At 47.1% G+C, this 27773-nt stretch overlaps 3 protein-coding genes across 22 annotated transcripts in view, besides 3 other annotated features; 2 read left to right on the forward strand and 1 right to left on the reverse strand.

Annotated features, from left to right (window-relative positions):
* On the forward strand, positions 1–17911 carry ZNF263 (zinc finger protein 263). 2 transcript variants are annotated; one of them, NM_001411015.1, is made up of 8 exons: positions 1–715; positions 1569–1749; positions 2191–2264; positions 2533–2659; positions 4964–5080; positions 5903–7063; positions 15616–15666; positions 17423–17911. In NM_001411015.1, exons 1-7 carry the CDS (start codon positions 329–331, stop codon positions 15618–15620), a joined length of 2052 nt encoding a protein of 683 aa, NP_001397944.1. In that variant the 5' UTR covers positions 1–328; the 3' UTR covers positions 15621–15666; positions 17423–17911. The 2 variants fall into 2 exon arrangements, with proteins under 2 accessions (NP_001397944.1, NP_005732.2); NM_005741.5 differs by lacking the exons at positions 15616–15666; positions 17423–17911 and having other exon boundaries at positions 5903–7970.
* Positions 150–309: a silencer, noted in NCBI's record as "silent region_7131". NCBI's record gives its function as "represses an Ori minimal core promoter by ATAC-STARR-seq in GM12878 lymphoblastoid cells {active_cell/tissue: GM12878}" and the evidence as "EXISTENCE:reporter gene assay evidence [ECO:0000049][PMID:35858748]".
* Positions 490–993: an enhancer, noted in NCBI's record as "H3K27ac hESC enhancer chr16:3333980-3334483 (GRCh37/hg19 assembly coordinates)". NCBI's record gives its function as "activates a minimal SCP1, AML or CMV promoter by ChIP-STARR-seq in primed H9 embryonic stem cells {active_cell/tissue: H9 hESC(primed)}" and the evidence as "EXISTENCE:reporter gene assay evidence [ECO:0000049][PMID:30033119]".
* TIGD7 (tigger transposable element derived 7) lies at positions 15318–21940 on the reverse strand. The gene is made up of 2 exons (NM_033208.4): positions 21722–21940; positions 15318–18519 (listed from the first exon to the last, which is right to left on the reverse strand). The coding sequence occupies exon 2, from the start codon at positions 17122–17124 to the stop codon at positions 15475–15477; it is 1650 nt and encodes a 549-aa protein (NP_149985.2). The 5' UTR covers positions 17125–18519; positions 21722–21940; the 3' UTR covers positions 15318–15474.
* Positions 21501–22030: an enhancer, noted in NCBI's record as "H3K27ac hESC enhancer chr16:3354991-3355520 (GRCh37/hg19 assembly coordinates)". NCBI's record gives its function as "activates a minimal SCP1, AML or CMV promoter by ChIP-STARR-seq in primed H9 embryonic stem cells {active_cell/tissue: H9 hESC(primed)}" and the evidence as "EXISTENCE:reporter gene assay evidence [ECO:0000049][PMID:30033119]".
* The window catches only part of ZNF75A (zinc finger protein 75A), a 17969-nt gene continuing 12202 nt past the window's right edge, over positions 22007–27773 (forward strand). For 7 of the 19 annotated variants that reach the window (XM_017023645.3, XM_017023644.3, NM_001302109.2 and 4 more), the window contains exons 1-2: positions 22007–22153; positions 24823–25346. In XM_017023645.3, the coding sequence (XP_016879134.1) occupies positions 24939–25346 (408 nt within the window). In that variant the 5' untranslated portion in view covers positions 22007–22153; positions 24823–24938. Of the gene's footprint in view, positions 22917–24822; positions 27457–27773 lie in introns of those variants that run through there. The other 12 variants (XM_047434593.1, XM_047434588.1, NM_001352498.2 and 9 more) reach the window with 7 other exon arrangements.

Genomic DNA, 27773 nt, shown 5'->3' on the forward strand with positions numbered 1-27773 from the left:
AACTTGCGCGCTGAGATTTCCGGCGTGGGAGCAGAGGTCTGAGTCTTGCGTGGGTCCTCTATATAGGGTGAGAAGCGTGGCGCTCGGTTCCTGCCTCGGGGAAGTCCTGGCGCAGATGGGCCACGGGGCCGGCGTGGCGGCGCCTGGGACCGACTGAGGCCTAGGCGCCGGAGCCGGCCGCGCCTGGGCTGGAGCGGGGCTCCTCGGCCTGGACTGGGAGCCCCCGGCCCCGGGCTCCTGCTGGCGCCGTCCAACCTTACATGGGTTCAGGGCGCCTTCGTAGGCGGGCACGGCTGGTTTCGGGCTAAGGCGCTCTGGAGACCTGACGATGGCGTCGGGCCCGGGCTCCCAGGAACGGGAAGGGCTCCTGATAGTGAAGCTGGAGGAGGACTGCGCCTGGAGCCAGGAGCTGCCCCCACCTGACCCAGGACCGAGCCCCGAGGCCTCCCACTTGCGCTTCAGACGGTTCCGCTTCCAAGAGGCAGCTGGTCCCCGGGAAGCCCTCAGCCGGCTCCAAGAGCTTTGCCATGGGTGGCTTCGGCCTGAGATGCGCACGAAGGAGCAGATCTTGGAGCTGCTGGTGTTAGAGCAGTTCCTGACCATCCTGCCCCAGGAGATCCAGAGCAGGGTGCAGGAGCTGCATCCGGAGAGCGGCGAAGAAGCGGTGACCCTTGTGGAGGATATGCAGAGAGAGCTTGGGAGACTGAGACAACAGGTGAGAGAGAGAGAGAGCTGTTTTATCTGTGGTTTGTTTAGCCCTGAGCACTGGGACATTGCGCCCCCGGTCGAATTCAAGTAAATTGCCCTGAGTAGACCTTACGTGGGGAAGAGGACTTGTGATTTAACCTGGAACACTCATCCTCCAGATTTTCCCCCAAATGAACGAAAGCAGTGAAGAGTGCCCTGTTTCCACGCGGAGGCGGTGTCCCTGCAACAGTTAGTGTTAGCCATGGAGTTAGATCGCCAGCGTTCAAATCCTCAATCTGCTAGTACTAGCTTTGTTACTTTGGCAAGTTACTTGATCTCTTTCGGCCTGTTTTCCTATTCGTAAAATGAGGATATTAACATACTTTCTAGGGCTTAGAGGGAGAGCAGCATGTAAAGTTGTGAACACTACTAGCTTATGAGTGCTTAGTACTTGTTACCTGTTGTTATGTTAGGGTCCACGGTCTGGTCTTCTCTGCAAAGCTGGGCCTCCGTTAATTGTGAACTTTGAAAGATAATTTGGCACCGAGGCCCTGAGGTCATTGGTCCCCAGGGCTACCCCAATTTAGCCTATCCTATAGTGAGGAATAGAAGCACCTAGAAAAGGTGGGGAGAGCAAAAGGGAGTGAGGTGTATCTTAAGAGCTGTGTGGGGAAGGTGTGCTCTGGGAGTGGGCCCTTTCCCTAACCCCTCCCCCTGCACATGGGATCAAAAAAGCCTTTAGTGTAAACCATTTTTCTGTTACCTGGGCCCAAAGGGATCGCCTGAGGTTCTCTGTTGAAGGTTTGCTCTCAGTATCCTATACTAATTTCCCTTCCTCTTGGGCCCTGTTGTGATGATGAGTGATGTGGGTTGGTTCCCAGGTCACAAACCATGGGCGGGGAACAGAAGTGCTTTTGGAGGAGCCTTTGCCTCTGGAAACAGCACGAGAGTCACCGAGCTTCAAGCTGGAGCCAATGGAGACTGAGCGAAGCCCTGGCCCCAGGCTGCAGGAGCTGCTAGGCCCCAGCCCCCAAAGGGACCCCCAGGCTGTAAAGGAGAGGGGTGAGGCACAGTTATCTGGGCAGGTGGGAGGGAGGAGGGGCTTGGGGGTTGCCCCCGACACTAGCTGGATGTAGCAATGATGCGAAGGAGAAGGAATTTCTGAAGATCAGGTTCTCACCTGTGGAATGAAAGACCTGCAGTTGGTGGTGTGGGTTCTCCTGGGGCTGGGGGAAGGGAAGGGAGTCTCAGTAGAGCCCTTTTTTATGCAGAACAGAGGCGATTTAGAACCACTTGAATGACGCAGGGTTTGGAGTGCTACTCTTGGTACTCCTTCCCTCTCACCCTGTCATTTTGGATATCAGCTGATTAGGCCTCTGTGCAGTTTAGCGTCATTCCCAAAAGCAGAGGCTGGGTGTTGGGGAATGGATACTGTGTTTTAATAATCCTTGGGTTGCCAAGAGTTAGGAATGCCATTCTCATTATAATTTCTGTCACCTTCAGCATTATCTGCTCCCTGGCTTTCTCTTTTTCCTCCTGAAGGGAACATGGAAGACAAGGAGATGACTGGGCCCCAGGTGATGTGGAAGTTTCCATTGTCTCCCCCCAGCACCCTTCCTCCCCTGAGTGTTGGGGGTGGGGGTTCTCCATGTGGAAGGTCCTTTGTCCCTTACCACAGCGTCTCCCCCACTGCTTTGTCTATTTCACACCTCACTTGGAGGCCTGATACCCTTCTTCCCCCCTGACATGTGCTTGGCATCCCTGGATTTTGCCCCTTTAACCCATGACTCTGCTTGAATTGTTCTTGGTGCATCAGGGGCTAAAGGAGATCTTGTGCTGTTTCAGTTGCCTGAGAGCTTAGAGGACGTGGCAATGTACATCTCCCAGGAGGAGTGGGGGCATCAGGATCCTAGTAAGAGGGCCCTCTCCAGGGACACGGTGCAGGAGAGTTATGAGAATGTGGACTCACTGGGTAAGGACTTCTTTTCCAGGGATGATGACTGCGCCATTTCTGACCAGGGTCCTGCCCGTTATTCATTCACCTCCTGGACACAGACTCTGAGTTTTGCCAAGAAGCCTCCACAGGAGACTTCCCTTTGTCTAAAGTCCCCTGTACGAGAGTCATGTATCTGCCAAGTGGTACAGTTGGCACAGGCAGCCCGGGACTGGAGTCCCAGCTGCCAGAGCCTAAGGCGAGTCTGAGCCATGTGCACTTCCTAGGGCAGAGCAAACCCAATGCGGTGACAACCTGCCAGCATCACACACATGCAGTATTCCAGGATGCTGGGGGGCTCTAAATGGTTGATTCCTTGCAATTTTCAGATGCTTATTCTTATGAGCTCGCCAGTGTTTCCTGTGTTCCGTTAGTGTTTCTAGGCTCGTCCCCAAAGACAAAAATTTCAGGGGTAGTAGGATCAACATTCCAGCCTATCATCTCTCACAGCCCATAAAAATTCAGAAAGTGGGGAGGGTCTTGTGGAAATTTGGAAACAATGTATAGCTCCAAAGTAGGCCATATCATAAATTAAGATTTACCTATGTCTTGTACTGTACTCAGAGTTTTAAAATTATGCCTACGGAATATGACAGACTGACATATAGTTGGATTTAGGTGGAGGATATGCTTGTATTTATTGTACAATTCCCTCAACTTTTCTGTATGTATGAGAATTCTTTTAATAAAAAGTTGGGGAAGTCTTAACATAAAACAAGACTGTGTGTACATTATGATTATACCTATGTTGAAACACACCAGTAGAAAGACTCACTGGTGTGGTGGTGGTAGTCCCAGTTACTCAGGAGGCTGAGGGGAGAATCACCTGAGCCCAGTAGGTCAAGGCTGCAGTGAGCTATGATGATGCCACTGCACCTCAACCAGGTGACAGAGTGAGACTCTGTTTCAAAACAAACAAGACACACCGCACATTGTTTCCATATATCAGGTTTGCCTAAAAAGTATCACAACTGTACATTTGTTGACACTAATTCTGCAAACGCAATCTTGCTCACTGCAACCTCTGCCTCCCGGGTTCAAGTGATTCTCCTGCCTCAGCCTCCAGAGTAGCTGGGATTACAGGCATGCGCCACCACACCCGGCTAATTTTTTGTATTTTTAGTAGAGACAGGATTTCTCCATGTAGGTCAGGCTCATCTTGAATTCCCGACCTCAGGTGATCCACCCGCCTCCCAAAGTGCTGGAATTACAGGTGTGAGCCACCACACCCGGCCTTTTTTTTTTTTTTTTTTTTTTTTGAAGTGAGTCTCACTCTGTTGCCCAGGCTGCTCTGGAACTTCTGGGCTCAAGCAGTCTTCCTGCCTTAGTCAGGAAGTGTGCCACTGTACCAGTTTCCATATTACTTTTCACTGCTGTGATGTCCAAAGTTGAACATGGCCCTTTTAGTGAGAGATGCTAAATAGGAAAAGATCAGATTACAGCTTGTTGGAATTAAACTTCTGTTGGAGTCCATGTTTGCTGGAGGTGGAGGTTTTTGTTTTTCTTTTTGGCACAGCATAGAAATGGCACTTGTGGGTTTTAATCTCATGGTCCTCTTAGAGCCCTGGGTCCTTTTCTGATTGTCTATTATGTTATATTTTCTTTCCCTGGAGTTGTCCGGTCAAATTTAGTTCTATTTTGTATTTATATGTAGAGACAAGGCCCTTTTATGATATTAAATGGATTATTCAAGGAACTGACCATGTTCATTTTATAGTTATTTCAATTACAGTAGTGTACATTCTCATTGCAAAAAAAAACATTCCAAGTACCATGAATATTTAAAAAAAAAAAAAATTGGCCGGGCGCAGTGGCTCACACCTGTAATCCCAGCACTTTGGGAGGCCGAGGCAGGCAGATCACTTGAAGTCAGGAGTTCGAGACCAGCCTGGCCAACATGGTGAAACTCCATCTCTACTAAAAATACAAAAATTAGCCGGGTGTGGTGGTGCACGCCTGTAATCCCAGCTACTTGGGAGGCTGAGGCAGGAGAATCGCTTGAACCTAGGAGGCAGAGGTTGCAGTGAGCGGAGATCGTGCCACTGCACTCCAGCCTGGGCGACAGAGTGAGACTCTGTCTCAAAAAAAAAAAAAAAGTCTCCCTCCCCTAATTTCTTTCTCTAGAGGTATCCACTGGGAACAGTTTGTGTATATTCCAAGTAACTGCTGTCAGATTTATGGAGCATTCTGTATTTATCCACTGAGGGCAGGGAACAAGACTGTTTCCCTACCCTGGTAGAGGAAAGTGGCAGTACAGAAATCTGTTTCTTTCATTGTGAACAGAGTCTCACATTCCCAGTCAGGAGGTCCCAGGCACCCAGGTGGGACAAGGAGGAAAGCTATGGGATCCCAGTGTCCAGAGCTGCAAGGAGGGCCTGAGCCCCAGAGGCCCAGCTCCAGGTAAGGAATGAAGACAAGTGGCCTGCGCAGCAAGCAGCAAGGCTCTTGCAGTTAAGAGTGAGGCATTTTTTGGTTTTGTTTTGTTTTGTTTTGAGATGGAGTGGCACTCTTGTTGCCCAGGCTGGAGTGCAACAGTGCGATCTCGGCTCACTGCAAGCTCCGCCTCCCAGGTTCAAGCGGTTCTCCTGCCTCAGCCTCCCGAGTAGCTGGGATTACAGGCATGCGCCACCACGCCCAGCTAATTTTTTGTATTTTTAGTAGAGTCGGGGTTTCTCCATATTGGTCAGGCTGGTCTCCCTGACCTCAGGTGATCCACCCACCTCGGCCTCCCAAAGTGCTGGGATTTACAAGTGTGAGCCACCGCCCCCAGCAGAGTAAGGCATTTGAGGATTTGGGTGCAGGGCCGGCCCAGCACAGCTGCTAGAGAGGTACATTACGTCCTTTGACCCTGCCATTCTCCATCCCAGTGAGGCAAGTGAGGAACCCAGGGTGCAGAGTTCAAGGAGGCCCTTATTCTTGAGCTTACTTGTCCCACCCTACTCTCAGCCCTGCTCCATCCCACCCATTCCTGAAGGGCAGAATCGAGAGGCTCAGGTGGAAAGGAAAATTCTAAGACTGGTCTCGGCTCTGATTCCTTGACCAGTGGCCCGACCCTTTATCCTGATGCTTCTCCAGAGTGCTTTACCTTTAGGAGAGGATGGGATTCTGAGGTAGAAGCAGCCCTTCTGGGCTGCTGACCTAACAGGCAGCGGCAGACAGGTGGGATTTTCTTTTCTCCAGCATAGAAATAATGTACGGGTTTGGTTTCTCTCTCTCTACCAGGAGAAGAGAAATTTGAGAACCTGGAAGGTGTTCCGTCTGTATGCTCTGAGAACATCCACCCTCAGGTGCTGCTTCCTGACCAGGCCCGAGGGGAGGTGCCCTGGAGTCCTGAGCTGGGAAGACCTCATGACCGGTCGCAAGGGGATTGGGCGCCTCCCCCAGAGGGTGGAATGGAGCAGGCCTTGGCAGGAGCCTCAAGTGGCAGAGAACTGGGGCGACCGAAGGAACTGCAGCCAAAGAAACTCCATTTATGTCCCTTGTGTGGCAAAAATTTCTCTAACAACTCAAACCTAATTAGGCACCAGAGAATACATGCAGCTGAAAGACTGTGTATGGGTGTGGACTGCACTGAAATCTTTGGTGGGAACCCACGTTTCCTGTCACTACACAGAGCACACCTGGGAGAGGAGGCCCACAAGTGCCTTGAATGTGGGAAATGCTTCAGTCAGAACACCCATCTGACTCGCCACCAACGCACCCACACGGGTGAGAAGCCCTATCAGTGCAACATTTGCGGAAAATGTTTCTCCTGCAACTCCAACCTCCACAGGCACCAGAGAACGCACACTGGGGAGAAGCCCTACAAGTGCCCTGAGTGTGGGGAGATCTTTGCTCACAGTTCCAACCTCCTTCGGCACCAGAGAATTCACACTGGAGAGCGACCTTATAAGTGTCCCGAGTGTGGGAAAAGTTTCTCTCGGAGTTCACACCTCGTCATTCACGAAAGAACTCATGAGAGAGAGAGACTTTACCCCTTCTCTGAGTGTGGGGAAGCTGTGAGTGACAGCACCCCCTTTCTTACAAACCATGGAGCCCATAAGGCAGAGAAGAAGCTCTTTGAATGTTTGACTTGTGGGAAAAGCTTCCGGCAGGGCATGCACCTCACCAGACATCAGAGAACACACACAGGAGAGAAACCGTATAAATGTACCCTTTGTGGGGAAAACTTCTCTCATAGATCCAATTTAATCAGGCACCAGAGAATCCACACAGGAGAAAAACCCTATACCTGTCATGAGTGCGGAGACAGCTTCTCTCACAGCTCCAATCGGATTCGCCACCTGAGAACGCATACGGGAGAGAGACCCTATAAATGTTCTGAATGTGGAGAAAGCTTCTCTCGGAGTTCCCGTCTTATGAGTCATCAGAGAACTCACACAGGTTAGTAACAGTGGGGTTTCTCTTTGCCCCAGGTGAGGTGGCATATTCAGAGGAGCCTGTTGGCAAGAGCTGGTATTCCCTGCCCAGCCGACCAAATGACCTCTGCATTCTTCAGGTAATGGGGGCTCATTGTGAGGGAGGTGCAGAGGCAGCAGAGGATTGGCATAAAACTGAAAAGGAGTTCTGTCTGCATGAGAAAGGATGGCAAGTCTCTGAGGTGACCTCAGGGTGGAATTCTCTGTTAAGTCCACCCTGCCCCAGGGTGCTCCTACCCTCTTGGTCTTTTTAAAGCCAAGGTGCGATTTGGGCACCTGACTGTCCAGTTTACCTTAACAAGTTTGGGAATCCATGTGATGTTTTTGATACTTCTTCCTCATTTGGGACATTCAGTAGGAGCATTTGGGCTTCCGGGGCCCCTGAGACCAAAGAAGAGGGGCCAAGTACCCTGGGAAATCAGCTGAAGGTCAACAAAAGACTGGTTGTGAGTTGCAGCTGTCCCGAAGGCCCCAGTTGGGAAGCCATGGGCAGTCCAGATCAAGCCACCACGTGCCCTACGATGGCCTAACAGGAGTGCCCATTGGCAGATTACACATGTAAATATGACCTCAGACAAAAAGGAACCAGAGGCCCAAGGGCAATAATAAGGTGGAATTTGCAGGTCAGCCCAGGAATTGGCAGAGGAAGTAGGTGTCTGATAACCCTTTGTGGAGAATGAGATTCCCCCCACCTGTGTGAGAAAAATAAACAGCTCTGGAGTCTTGTTCCTGACTCCAGAGGAACGAGAGCATTCCAGGAAAGAGAGATTCCCTGGAAAATTGAAAATGTGAATCCTAGGGGGAAATTGGGGATTGTGTCTTTCCCTGTTGAAAATGTTTGGATGGGAATAAATATCTTCAGGAAACATAAATGTCTGTGAGTCTTCAATGAAAGCCTCTGTCTAGACCCCCGAGTGTTGATCTGTCTCCCCTCTGCCTTGGTCAGAGGCCCTGCTTTCTCATAGACTTACTGGGTTGGTCAGGAAGATGCTGACAAAGGAGGCAGCAGACAGGCAGAGGCAGGTGAGGGCCTGGCAGCCTCCAGGCTGGGACTGCCATGTGGTAACAAAGGGTCAAGCCAAATGGCTGCTGGGGTGATGCTGTCATAGGGTCTCTAGAAAGTATTCTTTCCTTCTGTGGTCTATAGCAGTAAAAATGTTTTCAATTCTTTGTTTAGAATGTTTACATTCTTACTCAGTAGCTGAGGAAGATCTGACTCTTAGAGAACAGGATATTTTGGTCTTGCAACTGATTTCCAGGGTGGAAGTTAAGATGGTCCCAGTATAACTGAGTTATTGATTATTAATGGTAGGAAGATATAGGAGATGGCGCAATTATTAAGGGAAAGCATTATATTTATTTTTTGGTAGAGGTGGGGTCTCACTATTTGCCCAGGCTGGTCTTGAGTTCCCGAGCTCAAGCCTTCTTCCCATCTTGGCCTCTCAAAGTGCTGGGATTACTAGCATTGCATTTTAGAATGGCATATCAGAAATAGGAATTCTAGTAGTGTGTATCTGTGGGAAACGGGGGAGTATTCTAAGAGTAGGAAATCGGATGCCAGGAAAACACCTCAGGATACAGCCCCGGAGGAAGGTATCCAGCTGTTCTTCGGGTGAAAAAGATGAAGAAACAGTCCTTTGGGAACAGGCTGATGGATATAGCAACTTGAAGTCATGGAAACAGCGCTCCATTGATCCTTCTCTCAGCCCTGCCTCAGTTTAGTATGTGTTTTTCTTTGGTTGTCTGAGCCAGTTTTTTAATATCTCACTATTTCTCATTTCTGTAACTTCCTCTTAATCAGCTTGTTCACAGGAGGAGGGCAGTGGTGGTGTGGGGGTTGAGGGCAGGGAAGTGGAGGGTTAGGATTAGAGAGATCAGAGTAGGATCAACAGTGGTAGGAGCAGGACCACACTCCAGTGGAGCAGTGCAGGGCCAGCCAGGCTGCTGATGTCATGAATTGGATGGAATGTAAAGCTGGTGTTCCTACAAAGCACTCTGGTTAAGATGGCAGTTTATGTGGACAGAGACTGGAAAGCGCCCCTTCCATCTACTCTCCCTCCCTTGGTAACATCACCCACACAGATCTTATGATGTGGTCCAACTGGTGCTGCTCATACTTGGAACACTGCAGCTTGAAGCTGGGAAATGACTCTCAGGTATTTGCCATAAAAAGGCATTCCATTGGAACGCTTCACTCAAATCTTCAGTCTAGTTCCCCTTCTAGTAAACTTCACATGCTTAGCTGTTCTTGGCCTGTTTTAATGAGATGACATCACAGAAAATAACTACATAAAGCAGCACTATGCCTGGCATGTAAGAAAGTGCCAACTGTCGACAGATGATCCAAAAGATTTCCTTCTAAGCATCTAACACTGACTGAGGTCACTGAAGACCACACTGGCAGGAATTTCAGGGACTGATGACATCTCCTTCCCTTGTACTCATGTTTGAGAGAGTAGGTCTGATTCCCTTACTGCAGGCCCCCATGAGGTCTGATACGGTTCGGCTCTGTGTCCCCACGCAAATCTCATCTCTAATTGTTATCCCCATGTGTCAAGGGAGGGACCTGGTGGGAAGTGCTTGCATCATGGGGACGGTTTTCCCCTATGCTGTTCTCCTGATACTGAATTCTCCCGAGAGCTGATGGTTTTAAAAGTGTAACAGTTCCCCCTTCACTTGCGTGCTTGCTTGTTCTCTCTTGCCACCTTGTGAAGAAGGTACCTACTTCCCCTTTGCCTTCCGCCATAATTGTAAGTTTCTTGAGGCCTCCCCAGCCACACAGAACTGAGTCAATTAAACCTCTTTTGTTTGTAAATTACGCAGTCTCTGTATCTTTATAGCAGTGTGAGAACTAGGTCACTGCAAGAGATGTCCAAGTTAGTGCTTTTTCACATTAATACTTTGCCCACTAGGGCTCTTGTAAAAGAAGCCAAAACAGTTTGAGTGGCTTTTATGTCACAGGGAGACTAACCCTGGGACAATAAGGACCTCTAGCCTCTAAGTCCAAATGGGTGCAAAGAGGTCTTGGGAGATGTGGAGTGACCCTGAGCAGCAGCCACACATCCTTAGCAAAGGTAGCACATGAAACCAGCAGGGAGGCTGGTGGGTGAGAACCAGTGCCACATCTAAGCCCTGTGAAAAGGCCTGGCAGCGTCAGGCTGGGGAGCAATGACAACAAAGCCAGAGGTGGGACACAGACTGGAAGAATGTTTTAAAAGCACTGAATTTTTCAGAAAAATCCATCAGAAGTCACTTTAAAAGTTTTGATGGCTGTAATGAAAGAACTTTTGGGTCTCAGCACCATAATCTGAAATTTCAGGTTTTAGGCTCAGCACTTTTTTGTTTTGTTTTGTTTGAGACGGAGTCTCGCTCTGTCACCCAGGCTGGAGTGCAGTGGCACGATCTCGGCTCACTGCAAGCTTCGCCTCCCGGGTTCACGCCATTCTCCTGCCTCTGCCTCCCGAGTAGCTGGGACTACAGGCGCCCGCCACCACGCCTGGCTAATTTTTTCTATTTTTAGTAGAGACCGGGTTTCACCATGTTAGCCAGGATGGTCTCGATCTCCTGACCTCGTGATCTGCCCGCCTCGGCCTCCCAAAGTGCTGGGATTACAGGCGTGAGCCACCGCGCCCCGCCTAGACTCAGCACTTTTTAAAGAAGAGTGATTCATTACATTAACTGATACTACTTTGGAATGTGCAAAATCACCACTGCTTTAAAACTTGTAATTTTTTCTAAGTGTTTCACAAGCATTTGAAACAACTAAGTCACGTAAAGTGTCTTAATGTGTGTTACAGGAAAACCAACTAGCAAATTTCTTAGCACTAGGAGACTTAATTTTGGAGGTCAGGAACTCAGGAATAGCTAGATGAATTCAAGCAAAATGCATTTATTTATTTATTTATTTATTTGAAATATTTTCTTTTACTCTTCAGTCTAGCTTGCAAGCACTCCCAATTATTGACTTCTGTTCTTGAAAGGGCGGTTAATATTTCCTTCCCATCATATACTTTTTAATAAGACCAGCTAGACCTTGCCTGAGTGGTACAGTGAAGAGGCACTGGGAATGATCTAGGTTAAGTTCAACAACGACAAAATGGTTGAGGAAAAATGACTCAGATCACAAAAAAATTCTGATCTCCCAGTTAATGTTATTGCTCTCAATTAGCTTACAGAGACACCTTAAATGTCTCAAAAGATTCTGTCAGAAATCCGGTGGCTCTCAAGCATCCCCAACGTGCTCCAAGGAGAGTAGTATTTCTCCAGGCAGCGAGAACGGGAAAGAAAAACATTAAGGAGTATCGTTCTGAAGTCCAGCGTATGTTTTTGGACATCATGAGGAATTGCTTGCCCTCCATTCCGTTCAGGGAGGCCAGTTCCCCACTCCCGAGGTGCTGCTGCCCTTGAGGGAGTTCTCGGCTCTCCTGGGCCTCCCGGCAGGAGTCCAGCCCCAGCACCCGGCGCAAGTGTGAGTGCCTGGACTTCTCGGAGAAGTTCCTATCCCCAGGAGTGATTTGCAGAACCAGAGACTCCCTTTTCAGGCTTGGGCAAAGCAGACGCCTCCTGCTCCGCATCGGCTCACACGCGGCCGGGCCCACGAGCCTCCTCCAACCGCCGCCCCGGGCCTCGGGGCTGCCGCTCCCCTCAGCGTCGGCTCTGCCCCCAGAAGCGAAGGCCGCCCTGCGCCCGGTCCCGGCCTTTCCCTGCCCTCTGGCCGGTCCTCCTCCCGCGGCCGTCCCGGGACCTGTGCCCAGACCCCTGGGGCCACGATCACGCCCCAGCCGCCCAAGTCACCGCCCCTCCCCTCCCTTCCAGCGTTCCCGCCCGGGCGGTGTATGGTGGCTCCGGTGTATGGTGGTTCTCGCACGCACAGCCGCAGGGGTTTCCTCTCCTAGACTCGAGGCGGTGGCGCACCTGCACCCTCTAAAACTCCCCCGTCGGCCCTCGCGGTCTAGCGGGAGGCGCGGAGGGCCGAGCTGGGGTGCGTGCGAGCGGGCGCCAGGAAAGCGCGGGGCCGCCCTAGGGGCTAGGCCTTTCTTTAAACAGTGGGAGGCCCACGAAGTGTCTGAAGCCCGAGGCTCCCCTTTTTGTTTTAGTTCGCTCTCTTCTGGTAAGAGAATAAGGGTCGGGCAAGAATGGAGAGGGGACAGAAAAGGAAGGCAGGGCAACTGAAGAGGCAGAGTCAACGCAGAAGGCGAAGGGAGCCTGGACCAGGGCAGGGCAGTGAGGACGAAGAGTGGAGAGGAGAGATCCAGGAGGTGGAGCGGTCAAGACTTACGTGGGCCGAGACCCGTCTAAAATCTCGTAGGATGTCCCCCAGGGACACTAGCCTTGACCTGTCTTTCCTGCTCTTCTCCGCCAGAGGCCCCCAAGGCAACGGTCCAGGGACCTTGCAGCTTGCCTGGGAGATACACGTGCCCACCGCAGAGACTGAGCCCCTGCTTCACAACTTTAAACCCAGCTCAAAAGTCACGCACTGTCCTCTCAGACACCTCCCCTGCTATCCAAGTCTCAAAGGCCCTCCCTATGCTCACTTTGGCTCCGGCCCTTACACATCCCATGGTGGTTTGTTCTCATTCATTTTCTTGGTTATTCAGAGCTGAATCTCCAACAACATGCTATTGTCTAGTACATGAAACAGTTAACAGGAAGTTTCCAGAATCAATGAGTACTTTTGAAAACTGGGGTGACTCTCGGTCACTCTAGGAATTTATTATCACTAAAAAGAATGATGATGTTTGATGCAAAGACCCAAACTAAAAGGAACTAGAGAGCTGCCCAGAGTCCTCATCTGCCATCCCCCTCCACTTCCACAATCCATCCTGTCCCAGGCTTGGAAGGTCTTTCAAAAGAGGCAAAACATCAAGCAAAGAGTAATTACTACCTTCGCCCTCACCCAACCCCAGCTTGCAGTCATTATGGACTAATCTTAAAAAAAGAAAAAGTCAAGCTGCTTGATGTTAAAGGTCTCCCATCTTCCACCAGGCTGCAGACTGAATAAGGCAAGAAAGCACAAATCAAGCCTAAACTGAATGTAAAAAGGATGCCCAGTGGCAATGTTGATATATTTTTTCTACAAGTTCTGGGTAATAAATAAGGCACAAAAAAGATAACTACTGAATTTACAAGGTGAAAATATCAGCAATCACTACTAATAAAAAAGGAACCCACTTACAGCAACAACAAACCTACCTAGGAACAATAAAAAAAATGAGAACTCCATTAAATGAAAACTGCACTTACAATTTGAAAGGAGAGAAAAGTAATGTAAATTCTTTCCAATTTTACTTAAATTAGGAATAAATTCGCAGAGGGAGTTGGTGTCTGGAGGAGGCTTGAATAAATTTTATGCTGAAGTTGACTTAAGATAGTAAGAATAGCTTGTATATTTTCAAACATGGAAAGTGGGCATTTGCTTTTCATTAAAATTCACAGGCCGGGCGCAGTGGCTCACACCCGTAATCGCAGCACTTTGGGAGGCTGAGGCAGGCGGATCACGAGGTCAGGAGTTCAAGACCAACCTGAGAAACATGGTGAAACCTCGTCTCTACTAAAAATACAAGTCAGGTGTGGTGGCACGCGCCTGTAATCCCAGCTACTCAGGAGGCTGAGGCAGAATTGCTTGAACCTGGGAGGTGGAGGTTGCAGCGAGCCAAGATCGTGCCACTGCACTCCAGCTTGGGTGATACAGCGAGACTCCATCTCAAAAAAAAAAAAAAAAAGAGAAATTCATATTAGCCAGTAATGAAAATGGCAAGGTACTAGAGCAAGAGTGGACCCCAGTAGTTCTGTATTTAGTCACTAATTTTATACTATAATTGCCTAGTATTCACCAGTGTAACAGAATACCCATCTCAGAAACAGATTCTTTTTTTTTTTTTTTTTTTTTTTTTTGAGACGGAGTCTCGCTCTGTCGCCCAGGCTGGAGTGCAGTGGCGCGATCTCGGCTCACTGCAAGCTCCGCCTCCCAGGTTCACGCCATTTTCCTGTCTCAGCCTCCCGAGTAGCTGGGACTACAGGCGCCTGCCACTGCGCCCGGCTAATTTTTTGTATTTTTAGTAGAAACGGGGTTTCACCATGTTAGCCAAGATGGTCTCGATCTCCTGACCTCGTGATCTGCCCTCCTCGGCCTCCCAAAGTGCTGGGATTACAGCCGTGAGCCACCGCGCCCGGCCAGAAACAGATTCTTGAAGATAATATATGAGAAAGGAAACACTGAAAGCCAATAAGAGCTAATTATCCAAACAAAGCTTGTTATTTGCAAATATCAACTCACCTGACACCTTATATTAAATAGGGAACAACCATAAAGATACCATTCTTTTGGTTACAAAATTAGCAAAAACTAAGAGCTTAACAATATTCAATGTTGGGATTGGTGCATTGGGAGAAGTACTTTCAAAATAATGGTGGGAATGTGAAAGCAATTTAACAGCGTGTATCGCAGCTTTTTCAAAAGTTCATTCTATTTGACCTGGTAGTTCAACTGATACGTTACATCCCCTGGTGGAGTATTAAAAAACCATCAAATGTGAGGTTAAGAGATTTTAATGACCTAAGGGAAACTCTCAGAAATAGTGCCGTATGATGGTTAAAAGCCTGAGCTTTGGCATTAAACAGAATTTAAGTCTCACCTCTGCTGTTTACCAGTTTATGTGACCTTTGTCGAGTTACTTAATCTCTCTAAATCTGTTTCCTTATGTATTTGAAAAGGGAAGTCATTATTATGAAGACTAACATATATATACGATCCTATATACTCAATAAATGCTAACGTATTAGTAACAAACCATAAAATATGTTAAGACAGTAAGAGATAAGGTTTTATTTACAATGTAATCTGCCTATTTAAAAAATATATGGTATACACCGAAGTGTTGAGGTTATCATTAGTCAATAGAATTGAGTGCTTTTTATCTTTTTTTATATATTCCCTATAATCAGCATGTTACTTTCACAGTAAGAGGAAAACAAACACTAAATAGGTAGTAACAGAGTTAAGAAAGCAGAGTGTGTTTTACCATTAAATTGAAAACCTAATTTATCCTTATCTTAAAGCTAACTAGAACTAGTCAGCACAGTTTCTTTGTTATACGATATGATTACAAACTAATGCTTTTCGCAAAGGCATTCCACCTTAGATAATCTGGGACAATACTTCATTATTCAGATCCTTGTGTAAAATTTAAAAAAATGAATTTATGAAACACAAATTTAAATAAATTTAAAGAAACACAAATGTATTATTTTCAAACTGTAAATTTTATAACCATTATATAAATGGGCACTGATATACAAAATAATGTCAGTTGCTAAAACAAGACAATTCACAGCTGGCCTACATCATATAATGGCAGAAATCTTTAAACACAAAATCTAATGATTAGAACCAGAAGTTGAAGGCCCACTGAAGGAGTCCTTAATATTATGAGGCCTAGGTTTCAAAAAGCTACCAATTCTAGAATGGATTTTACTCTGGAACTGTTTCTTGACTATTTCTTGTTGCATCTCTTTCAGTGTGAAGTGGAATCTCTGAAACTCAGGTGTGGCATCAACAAAGTCAAGAAGGTAGTCCAAACTCTCTCTTACAGCAGATAATTTAAATTCAGCAGTCTGCTTCTCAGCTTCTCCTCCTTTTTGAACAACTTCCTTTGTTATTCCACCTTTGGTTTTTAGGAGACAACCCTTTTCTTCATCTCCATTTAACCACACCCTATCATCATCCAACTTAGTTTCCAACTCCCCACATTTTTCAAGAATTTCTCTATAATCCCCATGTTCTAAGCCTTGAAAATCATATTCAGGTTCCTTTTTGTAAAGAAGATTTTCCCATGCATTTGCTATGGTTATTTGTTTTACTTCTTCCCAACTTTTTGCCCAGTTAAAAATTGCACTTTTTATATTGTAGATTTTAATTTTGGAAACTCCTTTATCTCCTTTCTCTTGCTCATCATCACTTTCTTCAAATATTACAAGACTCTCTTCAAGTTGCTTCCATCTATACAGCCGTTTGCAGCTCAAGATCACACCTTGATTCATTGGTTGAATCAAGGTTGAAGTGTTATGGGGGAAGAACATACATTTTATTCGACCATCCTCACTGGTTAGGGATTCAGAGGAAGGATGAGCCGGGCAACTGTCCAGAAGTAACAATGCCCTGACGTCCTCGTCATGAAATCTTAGAACATTAAGTTGAAAATGTCGGACCTCAGGAACAAAGTTTTGAAAAAACCATTCTGAAAACAATTCTCTGGTGAACCAAACATCTTTACTGGGTTTATATATCACAGGCAATGTACTTGTGTCCTCTTTCACACTTTTGGGCAGTTTTGATTTTCCAATAATGATTGACTTTAATTTATGAGTTCCGTCTGCATTTGCACATAAAAAGGCAGACAACCTTTCTTTGTTTATTTTCTTCCCTGGTAGGCAGATATCTTTCCTACTTGCCTGAGAATTTTCTGGCATTGACTTCCAAAAGAGGTCTGTTTCATCCCCACTGTATAGCTGAGCTAGACACAGTTTCTCCTCTTTGATTATCATGGACAGTTTTTGTCGAAATGGCTCAACATTTTCAGAAACTGAACTTAGGACTTGTTCCCCACATCCTTTTCGGTTCCCAATTGCATGCCGATTTCGAAATCTAAAAAGCCAACCAGTGCTAGCTTTGAAATCTGTTCGCCCAAAACACCGTGCAAATCTCTCTGCAGCAGCCTGAAGCTCCACGCCTCTTACCGGAACACCGGCTGAGCGTTTCTGTTGGTACCACATGTAGACCGCATCATCTACATCACCATATTTGGCTCCCGTTGTCCTCTTTCTCTTCTCAGCCCCTACTAATGGCATGTCCTGCTTCAGTACAAAGTCCAGAATTAACTTCTTATTTTTTTTAATGTCATAAAATGTTGACTTACTGATTCCAAATTCATCCATTACACTTTTAAGTGATCGTCCAGCTTCAATTCTACTTAGAACCTTCATTTTCTCCTCCAAATTCAGTGTTGTATATTTCCCTCTCTTATTCATACTGAATTTAACTCTGAACCACCAACAGGAGAAAACAAAGGGAAAAGCCTTAATGAATTGGCAAAAAAAAAACCCACATTTTTTAAACAAAACTTAGCTGAAAGCCCCAGAAGGCATGGGCATTGTATTGGAGGATAATGGACTGAAGGGGCTAACCATGACTGAAGAGCTAGTCTAGAGGTGGAGGTCTTATGCACTCAGAAAGCTGCCAGTTGCAAAGTCCTGTCTGGCTCTTGCTCCTGCAAGCCATGAGTGATCATTTTTCAGAATGCCCCCTACCTCTCCTCTCTTTTGACAGATACAACAGCCTCAGTCAGGAATGACAGGAATACCTGCATACTTTCCCTAACTCAATACCGGAAAACGGACAATATGAAGAGAGGAGGGATGGAGCAAGATGTGCCCACAAGACAGGTGTGATAAGTTTCCATAAAAACTGATGCTTCAGAAGAAGGGAGCGTGAAAGACTCAAAGGCAATGACAGAGTAATCTTGTGTGTAGCAGAGATGCAATGTGGCTTCTCCCCTTCCAAAAAGACCTGATTTTACCTCACTGCCAGAAAAGAGAATGGTGCTCAAATTGCTTTGTACATAGTGTTCACTGGGCAGCAGTTCATCTACCTGGATAAGGGCTCCGAGCTACAGGGACCCTGACATTGGGATGTATGGAGAGTTGGAATTCAGGAACAGTTGTACCGAATCTTGAAGTGAAGAAGAAAGTAGTTTGTTGTACATATGAATGAAATCCAACTTTTATTGCATTCAATATAGTATTGTCAAGCACCGTGCTTTAACTTGAATGTCTCTTGTGTTTGCCAAGGTAATATGTAAGTATGTAAATAATTTATTTGTCAGTGGCACTTTACCATTCTCAGATCTTCTTTCTTGGGAACATCTGATTTATTCTCAAGTGCTATTTTTCACTGAAACTGTTCTCTATTTGAGATATTATCAAGTTTCAGAATCACAGCAATTCTCAGAGATGAGCCCAAAAGTTTTACAAATATTTCACCATAGTTAAAAATTTTTAAAGATCTGTCCTTTCATTTGTTTTCCTAAATTTACACTATAAGTAACATACTTTTTATATTTGAGATTTTGATTTCTCTTCAGTGTTTATTTTACTTAATTTGAACCAAGACTCAACTTTTCCACAGAAGAAATCTAAAAGGTTTCTCTGCTGCTGTTTCTGATCAATTGTTTCTCATAAATCCTACTGGCAAACTCTTCTGTCCCTCTAGGCCCTCAAATACTCTTTTCGGGTCCTCCTGGTGCTCCCCAAAGCCATTCCAGGTCCTTAGAAATGTCTTAGTCTAGATTAATTTCCTGGTTCTCAGTCCAGATACACAACCTCATGGGAAGAAACAAAAACTGCCACTTTTATCCATTCCAGGTGCTACGAAGAAAGAAAAGTATGTCAGAGAAATAAGGGAAATGGCTGGTATCTCAGTTATTCTTCCTCTTCTTTAGGGCAGAATCTGACTGGCCCATTCATTCCTCAACTACATAGAATTCTCTCTCTTTTTTTTTTTGAGACAGAGTCTTGCTCTGTCACCCAGGCTGGAGTGCGATGCCGCCATCTCGGCTCACTACAACCTCTGCCTCCCGGGTTCAAGCAATTCTCCTGCCTCAGCTTCCTGAGTAGCTGGGACTACAGGTGTGTGCCACCACACCCGGCTAATTTTTGTATTTTTTTGGTAAAGAGGATTTCACTATGTTGGCCAGGCTGGTCTCGAACTTCTGAACTCATGATCCGCCCGCCTCAGCCTCCCAAAGTGCTGGGATTACAGGCGTGAGCCACCACACCTGGCCCATAGAATTCTCTTAGGTCTCTCATCTAAAAACCCAGAAGAGTCAGACCACTGGTTTTCCTGTAACATTCATTGCAAGAAATGCCAACTATGAGTTATAGAGCATGGAGAAGATTACAAGAGAATATGGTAGTAATTAGGGGGTGGAGCCAATGGCAGGCTACGATCAAGCAACTTTCTAAATGAGGCAACTATAATTAAGGCAGTTAGTAAGTGATAACTCAGACATAAATCTTGGTTTATCTCTTTCACTTATAAATAGAAAAATAAAAAAGTATTTGCTAGCCAATAGCAGCACCATTAACTCAAGCTAGTCACCTAGCAAAAATATTCAGGCCACTATGACAGTTGTGTAGGTGTCTCAGAATTAATGTATTTGCTTTCAATGCTTCTCAGCTGTGCCGTCGTCTTTTTTTTTTTTTTTTTTTTTTGAGATGGGGTCTGGTTCTGTCGCCCAGGCTGGAGTGCAGTGACACAATCTCGGCTCACTGCAACCTCTGCCTCCAGGGTTCAGGCCATTCTCGTGCCTCAGCCTCCTAAGTAGCTGGGATTACAGGCACGCACCACCATGCCCCGCTAATTTTTATATTTTTAGTACAGACAAGGTTTTGCCATGTTGGCCAGGCTGGTCTCGAACTCCTGACCTCAAGTGATCCACCCACCTAGGCCTCCCAAAGTGCTGGGATTACAGGTGTAAGCCACTGCGCCCAGCCACAGTCATCATTTCTAAAACAGTGCCCAAGCAAGGGGAGGTGAAACCAAAAGGAAAGGCTCAAGGAATGTTTGTGGGCTTCAAAGGATAAGCCACTATGGCAGCAAACCTCACACAATGAAAATCACCAGTGCCTCTTATTCACTATTCACAATTTGTGCCTTGCTGCCTCTTTTTCCCATGAATCCCTTTTCCCTTTAACCAACTTCCTGTGTTATGAATCAGGCCTGTCAATGATATCCAAGGGCACTGCTTAGCACTGCTAGCAGAACTTCACTTATTCAACTTAATAAATTCTAATTATATATTCAGCATTGGGCCAGGTGATGAGAATCTTAATGCTGATGGCGCTACTGTCCACTGGTTCTGATAGACTGAGAATATTTACTGCTGAAGAAATGAAGTCCCAACCTGGCTGAGATTTTAAGGAAATGAACCTACTTAGACACAAATTCAAGTGACTTAGGCAGATGCTCATTATTAAATCTGTTTATCTTTCTCTCTCACTTAAAAAGGATCAAGATCTATGCCTAAGAGGAGTTACATACCATCCCATCCAAAAGCAAAAATAGCATAATGGCCTGGTAATGGCCTCTCATCTTCATTCTCACCTTAAACTTACCTTAGATGAACTGCCATAGAAAGCAGCTCAGTCCAAAACGCTCAAATGGTGCTCCAGGATTTACTTTTTTGTATTGTTTTGTTTTGTTTTTTGCGACGGAGTCTCGCTCTGTCGCCCAGGCTGGAATGCAGTGGCGTGAACTCGGCTCACTGCAAGCTCCGCCTCCCGGGTTCACGCCATTCTCCTGCCTCAGCCTCCCGAGTAGCTGGGACTACAGGCGCCCACCACCACGCCCGGCTAATTTTTTTTTGTATTTTTTAGTAGAGACGGGGTTTCACCATGTTAGCCAGGATGGTCTCGATCTCCTGACCTCATGATCCGCCCGCCTCGGCCTCCCAAAGTGCTGGGATTACAGGCGTAAGCCACCGCGCCCGGCCAGGATTTACTTTCTTAAATGCACTCTTTTCATTCCCATTCAAAGGACTCCAGTATAAGTGCCACATAAACTCGTTTTCTAACTTTTAAAACTCTTCCTCTAAATGCAGCCCAACTCAGTAAAAACGTACCTAAGATCTCACAGTCTAATGTTTCCAGCTTTTAAAGCCTTTACTCCTACCCTTCCCTCTGCCTGGAAAGTGTCTCCATTCCCTGCTGTGGACAAAATCCCTCAAGGTCTTTTATAATTTCCCCCAACCCCAAATCAACTTGGATTTTCTTGGAGTTCTCACAGCATTCAGTTTATGTCCTATTCTTACCCTTGTGTTACTGATATTCACGAAATTGCTCAGTCCTTTCAAGAGATTGCTTAAGGACAAAGACTTCTTACTCAACTCTGCAATATTGGCTACACATAGCTGACTTAATAAATAGTCCCTTGACTGGTATAAGCTGACGTTACAAAAACTGGTAATTCCGAAACCACTCATACTGGACTTATTAAATAATCCCTCAACTGGTACAGACTGACATTACAAAAACGGATTAATTCAGAGATCACTGAACACCCAAAACACTCAGATTCTTATAACTATGATTCAGTAAATATGTGTGGAATGCCTATCTTACCAGGTGACTATGTTAGGCGCTGCATGAGATATAAGATGAAAACAAGGTTCCCATTTTCCAGGGAAGAATACTGGAGTGGAAAACGCAGAGGATACCACAACAGGAGAGCTATTTCCGATTAGCGGCCGCCACTGCTGAGCTATGTGACCCTGAGCAAGTCACTTCTTAGGTCTCCGTTTCTCTGTCAAGGAGAGATAGAAAAAGAACCTATTTCACAGGTTCAAACCTACCTCAAGAAAAAATAGTTGTGGGGAATGCGTCACGAGACCTAGAAAACGGTACAAAACCCTCGGGGGGCCGCTGTTTCTGACCTAGCGAGTGGCCCGACCCGGACAAAATGCCTCTTCCTCGAGGAGGCGGCGACGAGCCCAGCAACAGCTCGAGCACGGCCGGCCGGGCCGCGGGAAGCCCGAGAACGCGGCGCGCGCAGCTGGGAGGCGACCCTTACCCGGCGAGGCTCCCGGGACCAAACGCCGCCCGACAGCCACGCAGAACAGACGCGGCAGTGCGACGCCTCCCCCACTGGGGACACGAGACAGCGACAGCCACGCGGTGAGCCGGTACAAGGCCCTCTAGGCTTCAGCGGGTCTGGATACTCGGTGGCATTAACCCTTCCCTACCGCCGGGGAAGACAGCAGTTTCTCTGGCGAGGAAGTAGGCCGGGCTCAGGCGCCTTAGCCAGAGGGCGGGCCTGCGCCACCCTCGGAAAGCGTCACTTCCACTTCCGGCCGGCGCTCTGGCTCTGTACCTGGACAGGGCTGCGGTAGGCCAGCGGTGGGCTGGCGGTTGCGCTCCTCAGATCGGCGGCCTTTCGGGCGGTGGCTTGCGTTTGAGCCTCAGAAAGCGAGGAGCGGCCTCCACGGAAGCCAAGCTGGCCGAGGTAACCGAGAAGCGGCTTCCCCTATGGCTTCGACCCTGGAGCCGCTGGAGCGGCGGCGGCCGCAGGGAGGCAGCCATTTTCCGTAGGCGGTGGCCGCGGCGCTTCCGGGCCGCGCGGCTGGAGCCTGAGGCGGGGCCACCGTCGGGCACGAGAAACCATTCTCTCCCCGCTTTTCGCAGCTGTATCCCAGAGGCGCGGCTGAAGCTCGCTGGGACACTGCCCGCTTGCCCAGTGCCCACGGGCACGCCTGTCGCAGACACAGGCTGTGGCGAATCCGAGTGCTGGCGGGCAGCAGTGCCTGCAGCTGCGCCCGCAGACTCTTTCCCGCCTCCGCCGGCATTTCCGTGTCCGGCCGATGTCATGCGGTCGGTTGAGCCTCAGGGCTAGCAGCTTCTACTGATGCAAAAACATAGGAAGTGTCTCTTTGCTTCTGGAACCGGGGTGGGCAGCAAGGAGCTGGCCACTTCTTTGAATACCGGTGGCATCCTGGGCAGAATTTCGGTGCCGTTTCTGCTGGCTCACTTCAGGAAAAGTGAGGCTCACGGCTCTCCTCAGCCCCCCTTAGAAGTCTAAATGACCTTTGGAGAAATACAAAGTCAGCAGAAAGTTTCACTTTCATCGTCACCAACTCCTGTTGGAGTTGATATTTCATAAACATCAGCGACAGAAAGAAAATACGACTTGATATTTTGTAAATAAAATATCCTTTTTTACAAGTTGATATTTTGTAAACAGAGGTCAGCTGTAATTTTCTCCAGATCAAGTAAGCACAGTTAAAAATTCATATAGGCCTGGCGCGGTGTTTGACGCCTGTAATCCCAGCACTTTGGGAGGCCAAGATGGGTGGATCACGAGGTCAGGAGATCGAGACCACCCTGGCCAAGATGGTGAAACCCTGTCTCTACTAAAAACACAAAAATTAGCCGGGCATGGTGGCACGCGCCTGTAATCCCAGCTAGTCGGGAGGCTGAGGCAGGAGAATGGCTTCAACCGGGGAGGTGGAAGTTGCAGTGAGCTGAGATCACGCCACTGCACTCCAGCCTGGGTGACAGGGCGAGACTCCATCTCAAAAAAAAAAACAAAATTCGTATAAATCATCTGCATGGCACCCTTTATGTGTGTTGCAAAGAATGATGAGCATCTTGTTGCTTACTTGGGAGACATTGTCTGAAAATAGGCTACTTTTTTACTTTCTGTAGTACCCCCTCCCCCCACTGTATCTGGGTTTCACTTACCCGCTGTCAACTGCCATCCAAAAAATATTAAATGGAAAACTCCAGAAATAAACAGTTCATAAGTTTTAAATAACTTTTTTTTTTTTTTTTGGAGATGGAATCTCGTTTTGCTGCCCTGGCTGGAGTGCCGTGGCACAGTCTGAGCTCACTGCAGCCTTCACCTCCCGGGTTCAAACAATTTTCCTGCCTCAGCCTCCTGGGTAGCTGGGACTACAGGCGCGCACTACCACACCTGGCTAATTTTTGTGTTTACAATAAAGAAGGTTTCACCATGTTGGCCAGGCTGGTCTTGAAGTCCTGGTCTCAGGTGATCCACCCACGTCAGGCCTCCCAAAGTGCTGGGATTACAGGCATGAGCCACGGCGCACCGCCAGTTTTAAATAACTCTTACTACAGTGTTTTATTGTTAATCTCTTATTGTACCTAATTTATAAATTAAGGTATCATAGCTATGTATACATAGAGAAAATAGTATAATGCAGTTAGATGCTGTTGGGGGTTTTAGGTATTCACAGAATGTACTGGAACTTACCCCCCTTGGAGAAGGGATACTACTGTATTTTGATCTCACCGTCTCAGCTCTTTTGCCAGTATTCCTACAATGGAAAATCTAAAATGTTGTTTTTTAAGGTGCCTTTATTTTTAGTTTTTAAATTAGAGACAAAGTCTTGCTCTAACTCCCAGGCTGGAGTGCAGTGATGAGGTCATGGCTCACTGCAACCTTGAATTCCTGGGCTCAGGCGACTCTCCCACCTCAGCCTCCTGAGCTAGAACTACTGGTGTGCTCTACCATCCTGGCTATTTTTTTTTTTTTTCTTCAAATTTTGTGTTTTGTAGAGACGGGGTCTCGCTATGTTGCTCAGGCTGGTCTGAAACTCCTGGCTCAAGTGATCCTCCCACCTCGGTCTCCAAAAGTGCTGGGAATGCAGGCATGAGCCACTGCACCTGGCCTAAAATATTTTTAAAGTGAAGGCTTCCATCTTCACAAGAGGATGAAGGGTCATAAAAGTTGTACTCCCCTTACTAGAGACAGACTGGGATGATCTGTTGAAATTTAAGAGAATCTCAGAATGTTTTCCTAATCTTATTTTCTCCTATTCTTTTCTTATGGGGAAGATGGGATAGGAGGCACACCAGTTAAATCCTTGGAAAATCCCAAAATACCTTTCAGCCAGTGGGTGCCAATTTTCTTACCCACCAATCTTTCCTAAATTGTTTTCTTTTTTATAAAAAAGACAGTTGTCCACTGACATTTGTGTGTTTTGTGCTGTGCTTCAGCTGAATAATAGAAAAGGAGAAAAACAAAGGGCCTGCTAGTTGATTTTGAAGGGAAGACAGGACACCTTTTCTGTTCTTCTTTCTCTCATAAGTCGCAAGTGATGAGGTTCATGTGAGTTTCTTATTGATACATACTTTTCTTTTTCTTGTCCTCAGTGCTTTTAGGAAGAAGATCCTTTTATTGCTTTTGTACAAGACCAGACAGGATCTCATTTGTTAAACGTGGTACCAATTGGGTGTCTTAACACAGGAGCAGAACTTCCTAGAGCAGAATGATGATGGTAGATCTGAAAGTGGCTGCGTACTTGGACCCTCAGATCAGGGCTTTGTGGGAGACCAAGGGGCCTGCAAGAGAGAGCTCCGGTCAGAGTAAAAAATCTCCTCAAATGGACTGTCTCGATCCTAAGAGCTCTTGCTGGCACTTCCGGAATTTCACCTATGATGAAGCAGGTGGACCCCGTGAGGCTGTCAGCAAACTTCAAGAATTATGTCATCTATGGCTGAAGCCAGAGATCCACTCAAAAGAGCAGATACTGGAACTGCTGGTGCTGGAGCAGTTCCTGACTATTCTGCCCAGGGAGACACAGACCCAGATGCAGAAGCACCATCCACAGAGCATTGAGGAGGCTGTGGCTCTGGTAGAACACTTGCAGAGGGAATCTGGTCAAACATGGAATGGGGTGAGAAGAAAGATTCCTGACATGTACAGTGAAATAGGATGCAGGTGGATATAGTAGAGATGGTGGCAGTTAGTTGAGAAATTAGATGGATTAGGTAGGTCATTGTTTGGTTTTTTTTTTAAGGACAGTTAAGGTGGGACTTGAAACTACAGGCCCACAGAAAAGTTCACAGGTTTCAGAGATTGTGGTAGATACTTCCCTGGCCTTAGAGAAAGAGAGTTGCTTTTGCCCTCTTTGGAGCCAGGGTGAATTGAGGGTGTTGGGCCTAGTCTGGCTTGGCCAAGGAGACAGGACTTAAGTACTTAGAAACAGAATAAAAGGTAATAAAGAGTCAGGGAGGCTGGATGCAGTGGCTCACACCTGTAATCTCAGCACTTTAGGAGGCTGAGGCGGGTAGATCACCTGAGGTCAGGAGTTCAAGACCAGCCTGGACAGCATGGTGGAACCCTCTCTCTACAAAAATAAACAAATTAGCTGGGCATGATGACCGGTGCCTGTAATCCCGGCTATCCTCGAGGCTGAGGAGGGAGAATCATTTGAACCTGGGAGGTTGCAGTGAGCCGAGATCGCACCATTGCACTCCAGCCTGGGCAACACAGCAAGACTCCATCTCACAAAAAAAAAAAAAACAAAAAAAACAAAAAAAAAACGGGCCGGGTGCAGTGACTCACACCTGTAATTCCAGCACTTTGAGAGGCCAAGGCAGACAGATCCCCTGAGCCCAGCCTGGGCAACATGGTGAAACCCCGTCTCTACAAAAAACATGAAAATTAGCCAGGCATGGTGGCACACACCTGTGGTCCCAGTTACTTGGGAGGCTGAGTCAGGAGAATCACCTGAGCCCAGGAGGTGGAGGTTGCAGTGAGCTGAGATGGCACCATTGCACTCCCTTGGGTGACAGAGTGAGAACCTGTCAAAAAAAAAAAAAAAAGGCAGATCCACAAGGAGAACACAGGAAAACAAGGACACTTAAAGAAAAGGAGAAATTGGCCAGGTTCGGTGGCTCATGCCTATATTTCGAACACTTTAGGGGGTCGCGGTGGGAGGACTGCTTGAGACCAGCCTGGGGAACATAGTGTGACCTTGTTGCTATGAAAAAAAAAAAGAAAATAAGCCAGGCTGATGGCACATGCCTCTAGTCCCAGCTTCACAAGAGGTTGAGGTGAGAGAATTGCTTGACCCAGAAGTTTGAGGCTACAGTGAGTTATTATTGCAGCATTGTACTCTGGCCTGGGCAACAGAGTGAGACCTTGTCTCTTAAAAAAAAAAATGTTTTAGGCCAGGCGTGGTGGCTCACATCTGTGATCTCAGCACTTTGGGAGGCTGAGGCGGGCGGATCACAAGGTCAGGAGTTCAAAACCAGCCTGACCAACATGCTGAAACCCTGTCTCTACTAAAAATACATAAACTAGCTGAGCATGGTGGCGTGTGCCCGTAATCCCAGCTACTCAGAAGGCTGAGGCAGGAGAATGGCTTGAACTCGGGAGGCAGAGGCTGCAGTGAGCTGAGATTGCACCACTGCACTCCAGCCAGGGCAACTGAGCGAGACTCCATGTGAAAAAAAAAATGTTTTTAAAAATTAGGAAAAATCCAGCCTGGGCAACATGGTGAAGCTCAGTCTCTACAAAAAATACAAAAATCAGCTGGGCATGGTGGCGTGTGCCTGTAGTCCCAGCCACTCGGGAGGCTGAGGTGGGAGGATCACCTGAGCCTGGGGAGGATGAGACTGCAGTGAGCCATGATTGTACCACTGTACCCCAGCCTGGGTGACAGAGTGAGACCCCCGTCTCAAAACAAAACAAACAAACAAAAAAAACAACTAGGGGAAGACTGCACAAGAAAAGAAAACATAGAAAAAAGGGAAACAAAGATTTGGAAAAAAGAAAAATCCCAACAGAATAGCCAAGGACAGGAAATGCACTGATGGGTAATGTCCTCCCTATAGTAGATGAAAGTCTCTACTGCCTTCCCTTAATGCTTGTTCCTTGGCTCTGCTGACAAGTTGGGAGCCAGGGTATGAACTTGGTGGGTGGCGACACATCTGCTGACCTCGGGTCTGCTGGGAAGAATACAGGGCAGGACCTATGTTTGGTGTCAGAATCATCTGGAGGTAGGTTGGAGCCACTCCCCTTTTTTCTCCATTCTATCCCCATTCTCTGAAAACCTTCGCTGGCTATAGGGATAATCAGGCTGACAGGAAAACTTTTAAATTCATTTATTTGAATTTTAGAGAAAACTAGAAGACAGAAAACCACAACTGTGGGATTGAAGTCAACAGAAAAGGCCTGACAAGACAGTATTAGAATGAGTGGCCTGCCTGGCTGGGCACAATGGCTCACACCTATAATCCCAGCACTTTGGGAGGCTGAGGTGGGCAGATTACCTGAGTTTGGGAGTTTGAGACCAGCTTGACCAACATGAAGAAAC

Source organism: Homo sapiens, chromosome 16, assembly GCF_000001405.40.
Source record: "Homo sapiens chromosome 16, GRCh38.p14 Primary Assembly".
In the NCBI taxonomy this organism is placed as follows: domain Eukaryota; kingdom Metazoa; phylum Chordata; class Mammalia; order Primates; family Hominidae; genus Homo; species Homo sapiens.